The sequence below is a fragment of the Homo sapiens genome, chromosome 1, assembly GCF_000001405.40.
Source record: "Homo sapiens chromosome 1, GRCh38.p14 Primary Assembly".
NCBI classification, from domain to species: domain Eukaryota; kingdom Metazoa; phylum Chordata; class Mammalia; order Primates; family Hominidae; genus Homo; species Homo sapiens.
This window is the reverse complement of record NC_000001.11, coordinates 243,018,780-243,028,744: the sequence shown is the minus strand read 5'-3', so window position 1 is coordinate 243,028,744 and position 9,965 is coordinate 243,018,780. Positions and strand designations below refer to the sequence as shown.

The window sequence follows — 9,965 nt, the reverse complement described above, 5'->3', positions numbered from 1 at the left end:
ATGTTTGTTGGCTGCATGCATGTATTCTTTTGAAAACTGTCTGTTCATTCCCTTTGCCCAATTTTAATGGGGTTGATTGTTTTTCTTTTGTAAATTTCTTTACATTCGAAATGTTTTTATTACTAAGTTGAGCTGCCTCATTCTTAGTATGGTTTTTCACTTTAAAAAGCATAAGGGTGGACATGGTGGCATATGCTAGTAATCCCAACTACTGGGGAGACTAATACAGGAGGATTGCTTGAGCCCAGGAGTTCAAGACTATAATGTGCTATGATCATGACTGTGAACAACCACTGTACTGCAGCCTGGGCAGAGTGACATAGTGAAACCACATCTCTAAAAAAAGAGAAAATGTAATTTAAATCTTTAAATACATATGTATATGTGTGTATATATGTATATATATTGCATATATCAGAAATGGTTTGTAGTTTCCATTCACAGCACATAGTAAAATGTCTTAACCTCCTCCCTCCTCCCTATGTGTGTTTTTCTAAGTGTGCGTCTTTTTTACCTTAATTTTTCTCTTAGTGTCTCATAGTCTTCCTAGGTCTCCCTCTTTCTTCTGTCTTTCACACACACACACACACACACACACACACACACACACGCATGCGTACACGCATGTACCTTGAAAAATAGCTTTTCTTTTTCTTAAAACTTCCCAAAGCTTTCATAAAATTAGCCCTCAGGCACTCTTACGTATCTCATCCACTCTTCTTCCTCTCTCCCCTTCCTGAAGCCATTTGTAACTTACTCTATTACACTAGGAAGGGGAAGCAAATATTCATATTATTTTCTTGTTATATCCTTAGCATTACTAGACCTTTGTGGTTTCTATGGATGAGGGACATAATATTTATTGATTTATTCTAAACTTCAGTCACTCATAATATACCCTTTTATTCCTCCTTCTTCTGTGATATTGGGAGTGTATAGTTGTCATTGTGACAAACCCTTTGCTGTCAGTATCTAAAGTGGGAATATAATTGAGGACTAGATGTTCCTGTTTTATATCCTACAGGGCTGGCATCTCTAATGCTGAAAGTACAACAAAGTGCAGTGGTAGTCACTGAGTGTTCAGCCATGCTGGGTCATCACAAGAAAAGGAGATCGTCTTCCCATTCCTATCAATGACCTCATCTCTACCAGATATATAACTGGAAAAACAATGCATTTGCTTAAACATCCACAGTGAGCCACACTTGTTTGGTGTTGTGGGGAAATGATGGAGAAGCATCCTTGTTTATTAAGGATCCAATTTTGATAGGCTGAGGCATATTTTTCCTCCCAAGTCTGCACATGGTCATGCATTAAATATTAATGAGCATCTTCTCTCTATCAGGATTTGGGGGATATGTTCACCTCTTGGGAGGTGAACATGATAAATAAGATCCTTTCTCTCATGTAGCATTCTCTCCATTCTTTTTTTTTTTTTTTTTTTTTGATAGGGACTAGCTCTGTCACCTAGGCTAGAGTGCAGTGGTGCAAACATGACTCGCTGCAGCCTTGACCTCATGGACTCAAGTGACCCTCAAGTGATCCTCTTGCCTCCACAACATCCAGCTAACTTTTAAAAAATTTTTTGAAGAGAAGGTTTTGCCATGTTGCCTCAGCCTCCTGAAGTGGTGGGATTACAGGTGTGAGCCGCTGCACCTGGCCACATTTTCTTTCCATTCTTGTGGAAGGCAGTAGTCAGCAAAACAGTTAATCAATTGAGAATATATTAGGTTGTTGTAGGAACCATGAAAAAATAAAATAGAGTGTGTAAAGAAGGCTTGATGGCCAGGAAGCTTTTACAGGGAAGTGACATTTGAACTGAGACCAAATACTTAAAGAAGCCAGTTCTTTGAAGAGTTGACGGGAAAGTATTCCAAGAAGTGGGAATGGCAAGGGGAAAAGACTTAAGATGTAACCTCAGAATGATTAAGGAGGAGCATGGTACAAGAGGATGTCAGAAACATAGCCAGGAAAGAGAGCTATGCTTAAGTATTAGGATTTTATTCTTTGCAAAGGAAAAGCCCATTGAAGCTTTAAAGCAAGGACCTAAGAGTTAACATAATTTTTTAAGGTACCTTAAAAATTTTGCTGAATGAAAAATTCATTGAAGTGAGTCAGGAATGTATGATTTTGGACAACTGACACAATGCCTGAGGCATAGTTTCTTCATATGGAAATTGGAGACAATGATCATATCTACCTTAGCGGATTATATAATGAATTATTTTCCTAGGGCTCCTGTAATAAAGTACCACAAACTGGGTAACTTAAGCAACAGAAATTTATTGCCTCACAATTCTAGAGGTGAGAAGTCCAGATCAAGAAGCTGGCAGGGCTAGGCTGCCTGAAAAGGTGCTAAGGAAGGAACTGTTCCAGTCCTCTTTCTCTCCTTCCAGTAGTTCCTTGGCTTGTGACAGCACAGTGTCAATTCTCATATGGCATCCTCCCTGTGTGCCTGTCTCTATGCCCAAATCTCCCTTTTATTTAAGGACAGAGTCACAGTGGATTAGAACACCCCCATAACATGAAGATTGCATGAAATTATATACATAAATAATTCAACAACATAGCTTCCAAATAGAAAACACTCAGCCTTTGTCATCTCATCATTATTTGTTTCCACCTTTGTATTACTGGTATAGCTCTAGTCTTTTGAAAGGTGCAGTTACTCATCTTTGTGTTTTCCACTCCTTTATAGCAAAGTGTAAGGTGCTTTTGCAAAATCCAGTACTGCATATTTGAGAAATGCTTTTTATTCCTACACATACTGCATATACTGTTACACAATTCGATTTTGTAGGTCTAATGAAGTTGGTCTTTCTATGAGTTCCTATGGCTAAAAATAGTCACAATTGTGTATTCCAGTAAATTGTTAGAATGAAGGAAAATAGTTTGAGTGAAATTATCAATCTGGTTTTTCTGACTTCAGCTGTGTGTCATGTTTGGTTAGTCAAGAGAAACATCTAATGTGAGGCCCCTGGAGGACAGCTGATAAGTAAGCATACCAAGTAGAATGGCTACTGGAAAAAGTGTGCCAGCTAGAGAGAGAGAGAAAAGAGAAAGTTAATTTACCATTTGCTCAAGTAAGGAATGATCCACAAATTCAACAAAATCTAAGTAGTCTTAAAGGACATGTCATTGACAGATTTATCTTCTAGTCTCCCACTTTGTCTAACACTGCTTCAAAACAAAGCAATTTACTGAACCCAGTGGTCTCATTATTCTGGAGGTTTATAAGGTTAAAAATACCTGGAGTTTTGGGAGCAGCAATAGCACTGAAGTGGGATATTAGTAGTGATGCGTGTGTTTGCAGCACCTGTGAACACACAGAGACTGAAGCTTGAAGGCTGATGACACTGAGTTAGGGGAAAAGATAAAACTTTTTATTAGATTTTTTTAATGTCAAGAAGAAAATTATTTATCTCCACATTTCTTGAATATTATCCTCTTACAATTAGGTCAATGATTCTCACCCCAGTTATACATTAAAATTACCTGGAGATATATAAAAACTATCAATGTTCTACTCTTCTACAGATTAAATCATCATCACTGAGGGTGGCCCTCCAGCAACCAGGTTTGAGAACCACTTCAGACCAGAATTTTTCTCTGTGCCATTCAGTAATGACAAGATAACTGTAGGATACGCAAATTGCAGAAAGACAACTGCAAATTATTTCGCTTATCCCCAAACAGCTGAACTATCTTAAGCCTCATGGCTACTTTAGAGTGACCAAATCCATGTAGACGCCAGAAGTTGTGTCATACACCTATTTCAAGGGACACATAGAATTTACCTATATATACCTACCTCAAGGGTCATGTCGGTTTACCATTCCCCTAAACAACAGCTTAATAGTATAAACTGCTGAACTGCTGTCTGCCTAATATTTATTGTGGCTATACTTCTTCTTTTCTGTATTAAAGGCCACTGCTTCTCCCAGCTTGCTCTTTGTTCTCCATCATCTGTTGTAGGTCACTTGTGCTTTCTGTTTTTAACACCCGTGTTGCTGAAGTCATTTCTCCAATTCATGATCCATGAAACTACTTCAGCAGTGAAAATGGCACCCCTCAGGTTCAAGTCAACATTTTTATATTTCCCTCCAGGTCAAGATCCAAGCTATGGAAGAAATCAGGATATGTCAATTTTCTAGAGCAGCCAAGTTTTCTAAAAGTCTACCTAGCCATGTAGTTATGTAGCCTCACTCTCACTTAAACAAAGAAAATTAAAAAGCACACCAGAAAAGACTTTTCTTGTTAAAAACACATGTTTATTGTAGAAAATATAGTAAGGAAAAGAAGAAAATATAAGGCAACTAGAATTTCTCTAGTTAGAGATAACTATTATTTATTTGAGTGTGTGTATATATCTATATATATATATTGACCTTCAGCTCTTATGTACTAGATACACACATCTACTCTTTCATAAGCTTTTTTCACAGAATAGATTATAATCAGTTAGTTATCACCACAACATTTTCTTCTTGAAGACCTTCTGGAATGAGGCATTTGCTTTTCTATCTAGAGACCCTATCCTTTCAAAAGGTCCTTTCTCTGTGGAAAGAGCTATTCTGGCCACAGTTACTGCCAAGAAACGAGGTGTTAGAAAAGGCCTAAAGTTAAGTGCAGAACTGCTGTGTTTTGATGAATATTCTGTTGTTTTGAGAGGAGGTAGAAGCATTCTCAGCTTCAGGATGTTTGCTCACTACTCATTAGTCTCTCTGAGAAGTAGCAAACTTCAAAGGTTAAGTATGAAGAGATGAATTGTGTAATGCCTAGATGTCAGTAGCGGAGAAGGTATCTGAACAAAGTCAGAATTTTATCCCTGTCTCCATGGGCCTAGTGTGAAGAACAGTCATTTGTGTAAGTGGGTCTTTGTGTATATGGTACTGAATCAGGTCACTGAGTCAGAAACTTAGAGCTGTAAGGAAAGTGAGGTGCTCTCCAGTCCAGTGTTCTGGAATTTCTTCTGCAGTGGCCCCCAACAGCAGGTGGCAGCCTCGTCCATGATTGTATTCTTAAGTGACATGGTATTACTCTTTCTATTTGCAATCCATTTCACTGATGGATAGTTCTAGAGATCTGAAATATTGAGATTTAGCTCAGTGTTGTTTATATGAAGATAAATTCCGCTTTCCAACAACTCTCTTGTATGTGTCTAATGTCTGCCGCATGGAATGTCACAGATTATGCTTCATACTTGTCTTCCTGAGTCTTCTTTATCCCGAACACGCTGAGTTTTTGAATGGTTGACATGCCAGCTGGCTTTCTGCAGATGTACTTCTCGTGTGTAAATTTCCTTCTCTGTGAGGTATTCATATTGAACATGACCTCCAAGTGTGTTTGGGTCTGTGCAGAAGACAATAGGACTGTGATTTCTGATGATTAAAACCTGGATTGTATGTTACTGTCATCAGACACTGAGATTGAGTTAGCAAGTTTTATAGCATCTGAGTCGCTCTGTTGGAGGAAAGTGCATGTGATGGGCATTTGCTTGCTTCCCCACCAGATTCTCTACCTTCACCCTTCCTGCAAGATTCCCTAGGAAGCTGACTTCTGCTGAATGCAACACTCAGGTTCTCTGCTTCCTAGATTCTAGTTGAGTTTGGTCCATGGGAGGCCTTGGCAGAAATTTTGAGAGTAAGAGCAAATAATTACTTAACCATTAGAAAAAAATAACATGAATGTGTCCTTCTATCCATGGCCTCAGTTCCTGTTGGGGAGCCTCGGTGCCAATCCCTCGGTGCGTCACCATTTCTAATTAGTTCCTGTTTTAGTCTGCTTTTGCGCGCGCGCGCATGTGTGTGTGTGTGTGTGTGTGTGTTGTTATAAAGGAATACCAGAGGCTGAGTAATTTTAAAGAAGAGAGGTTTATTTGGTTCACAGTTCTGAAGGTGTGCAAGAAGCATGGTGCCACCATTTGCTTCTGGTGAGGGCTTTAGGCTGTTTCCACTCATGGCAGAAGGGGAAGGGAAGCTGGCATGTGCAGAGATCATGTGGCGAGAGAGAGGGGTTTGTGCCAGGCTCTTGTTAACAACCAGCTCTTGTGGGAATTAAGAGAGCTAGAACTAGGTGGGCACGGTGGCTCACGCCTGTAATCCCAGCACTTTGGGAGGCCGAGGCAGGCGGATCATCTGAGGTCAGGAGTTTGAGACCAGCCTGGCCAACATGCTGAAACCCCGTCTCTACTAAAAATACCAAAAATTAGCTGGGCATAGTGTTGGGCACCTGTAATCCCAGCTACTCTGGAGGCTGACACAGGAGAATGGGTTGAACCCGTGAGGTGGAAGTTGCAGTGAGCCAAGATCGCACCACTACACTCCAACCTGGGCAGCAAGAGTGAAACTACATCTCTAAAAGAAAAAAAAGAGAGCGAGCAAGAACTCACTTGGATGGCACCAAGACATTCGTGAGAGGTCCACACTCAGGACCAAAACACCTCCCATTAGGCCCCCCCTCCAACAATGGGGATCACATTTCAACATGAGTTTGGAGTGGTCAAATATCCAAACCCTAGCAGTTCCCTTAACCCTGGAAAGAGACCTTTCATTAAACTCTTTCTGCTTAATCCTTTGAGAGTGGAACAATTTCCTGCTAGGACCGTGACAGATAGAGGGACCATACAGATCACTAAAATGCTGAGGAATTTTTCAAATGAACTGCACCCAACAGACCTCCCTGATTCTGAATATATCAAACCTTTATTTTTTATTTTATTTTATTTAATTTTTTGAGACGGAATCTCACTCTGTCGCCCAGGCTGGAGTGCAGTGGTGCGATCTCGGCTCCCTGCAACCTCCACCTCCTGGGTTCAAGCGATTCTCCTGCCTTAGCCTCCCGAGTAGCTGGGACTACAGGCATCCACCAGCACGCCCGGCTAATTTTTTATTTTTAGTAGAGACGGGGTTTCACCATGTTGACCAGGCTGGTCTTCAACTCCTGACTTCATGATCCGCCCACCTTGGCTTCCCTAAGTGCTTGGATTACAGGCGTGAGCCTCTGCACCCAGCCAAACTTTAAAAAAAACCCCAAATAGTACTTTGAACTTCACCCGCAGGGAGTTATTCAAATTGGTTGTCAGCCAGTTATTTCAGGTTGTTGAGATCATCTGGCTCTTGATCTTATTAATCATCTTAGCCTTCCCTTTCAACAATTTGCTGACTTTGTGCAAATTTTATTAATATGTGATCTCTGTCTTTATCCATGGAGAGGCAGTATAGTATCATGAGGAAAAATAGACTTTGGAGTAGGCAGAAATTAGGTTTGAATTACTAGCCACGAGGCTTTGGAAACATTACTTAAACTCTATAAGCTTCAATTTCTTTACCTATAAGGTAGGTATAAAACCCGAAAGTTTTGACATGAGTTTAGTAAAACTGTCTGTGAAGCCCTTGTGGACTGCTTGGTCCATGTAGGCATTTGATAAATGGTGGCTTTATATAGAGGAGGGAAATGCAAGCTATCTCAAAAAGAAATCAGGGAAATAAGAATGCCATCTGAAATCTGTCATAGGAGAATGAAAGGAGCATAGACAGGTTTTGAGTGTGGGGTGAGGAGTAGGGGAGGGGAGGAGATAAGTGAACTGCCCCTCAGACTTCCAGGGAGGAGAAAAATGATGTCACTGGGAACTGCAGTCATTTGAAAAGATAGCAATCAAGCATTTCTTTCGGAGCCCTGTTCATCTTTCAGTGGCTTTGCTTCTCCAGATGCTTTTGCTCCTTCAATTATCTCTGCCTTCTCCCACTTCCTGTCCAACCATCTCTTCCCTTCCTTAATTCACAATTTTTCTCCCTCTTTTCAAGGCATAGTGCTTTGATTTATAAATTAGTTCTATGTTTCTGTTTTCTAATTTATTAGTTTCTGCTTTCTTATTTATTTATTTTGAGATGGAGTGTCACTCTGTTGCCCCAGTTGGAGTGCAGTGGCATGATCTCGGCTCACTGCAACCTCTGCCTCCCAGGTTCAAGAGATTCTCCTGCCTCAGCCTCCCAAGTAGCTGGAATTACAGGAGTGCGCAACCAAGCCTGGCTAGTTTTTGTATTTGTAGGAGAGACAAGATTTCACCATGTTGGCCAGGCTGGTCTGGAACTCCTGACCTCAGGTGATCTGCCTGCCTCAGCCTCCCAAAGTGCTGGGATTACAGATGTGAGTCACCGTGCCTAGCTTTCTTTCATATTTATTAATACATTATTTCCACTTTCCTAAGGATAGTTGTTGTTCAACCTTTACTAGCTTTTTTGTTGTTCATACTTAATACATTTATTTTTATTGTGCTATAGCTATTTCCCACATGTGATTTTTTTTTTTTTTTTTGAGATAAGATCTTGCTCTGTTGCTGAGGCTGGAGTGCAGTGATATGATCATGGCTTGCTGAAGCCCTGAACTCCTGAGGTTGGGTGATTCTCCCACCTTAGCCTCCCAAGTAGATGGGATTACAAGAAGTACCACTATACCTGGCTATTTAAAATTTTTTTTTGGTGTGTGTGGAGATGGAGTCTCCCTATGTTGTCCAGGCTGGTTGTGAACTCCTGGCCTCAAGTGATGCTGCCACCTTGGCATCTCAAAATGCTGGGATTACACATGTGTAATATTTTTATTATCACCATTTTCCACATATTCTGGAAATTTTATTTGGATTTCTTTTTTTTTTTTTTTTTGACAGAGTCTTGCTGTGTCACCTAGGCTGGAGTGCAGTGGTGCAATCTCAGCTCACTGCAACCTCCACCTTCTGGGTTCAAAGAATTTCTCCTGCCTCAGCCTCCTAAGTAGCTGGGATTACAGGCATGCGCCACCAGGCCCTGCTAATTTTTGTATTTTTAGTAGAGACAGGGTGTCGCCATGTTGACGAGGCTGGTCTTGAACTCCTGACCTCAAGTGACCTGCCCACCTTGGCCTCCCAAAGTACTGGAATTACAGGCATGAGCCACTGTACCCAGCCTGGATTTCTTTTTGACATAGAATTATTTAAGAGAAAGCTTTTAAATTTCCATGCCGTAATTTCTAGTTTTGTTGTGTCATAATCAGAGAATATAATCTGTAGCATTTCTACAGTCTCTACTTTGCTTAGATGTTTTTGCGGTGGGGTGTGTAATATGTACTCAATTTTGTAAACATTTTATGGACATACAAATTTCAATGTTTACTTTTTCAGGCTATAGGCTTTGCTACATAATTTTTGTGTATTTTGTGGTTCTCATATAGATTTTTAAATTATCTTTTTGCTGTGATAGAGATTAGAAGGGTAAATTAATGTCTCATTTACCATCATTTTTCTTTCTGTATTTCTTTTCATTTCCTGATGCTTTGGCTTTATGAAATCTTTATGTATAAAAATTGTGCACACATATCTTTATGCACAGTGTTTTGGATTTTACCCTTCATAATGAGCTTTTTTCTCTCCTTTGAATTTGACCTGGCCTGGTGTTAACAGCCCAGGTGTAAAATTCCAGTGAGAAAGAAGTCTGATGAGGAGTCAGTAGGATCTTTGGGTTGCTGAGAACTGCTCAGTACCACGGACAGCTCCCTGCACTCCAGGAAACATCCTGATTCAGTGTCTTGAGTATTGTGAAGCACAGTTAGAGCAGAAACATGGAGAATCACCTTAAAATGGCAAATTGGCTTCTGGTCTTGCATAAGACTTCATTGAGGCCTAATGGGCTATGCAGGTCTACTGTCCAAAGTACAGAGGTTATTCCTAGTGTCTTTAATATTACTGTCCCTTTAGGCAAGATTATCCTTATGATAAGGGAGACTGAATTAAGCTATTTTGGCTGAGGCATATTTTTATAAATTCATCCAATTAGCTTCCCTTGTTGTAGTTTTGGCTCGCCAAACATTGTTCTGATTATAATTTAGCATCCCATATAATTTCATCTGCAGGGAGAGTCTGTACTAGGCATGACGATGCTTACATATCAGCCCATGTGACTGCAAGAGTCTCAGTATAATTTGATAACATGGCA

The 9,965-nt window shown here is 40.3% G+C and overlaps 1 annotated feature.

Moving 5' to 3' along the window:
• Positions 9,442 to 9,642: a silencer, noted in NCBI's record as "peak4110 fragment used in MPRA reporter construct". NCBI's record gives its function as "represses an SCP1 promoter by STARR-seq MPRAs in K562 erythroleukemia cells {active_cell/tissue: K562}" and the evidence as "EXISTENCE:reporter gene assay evidence [ECO:0000049][PMID:32103011]".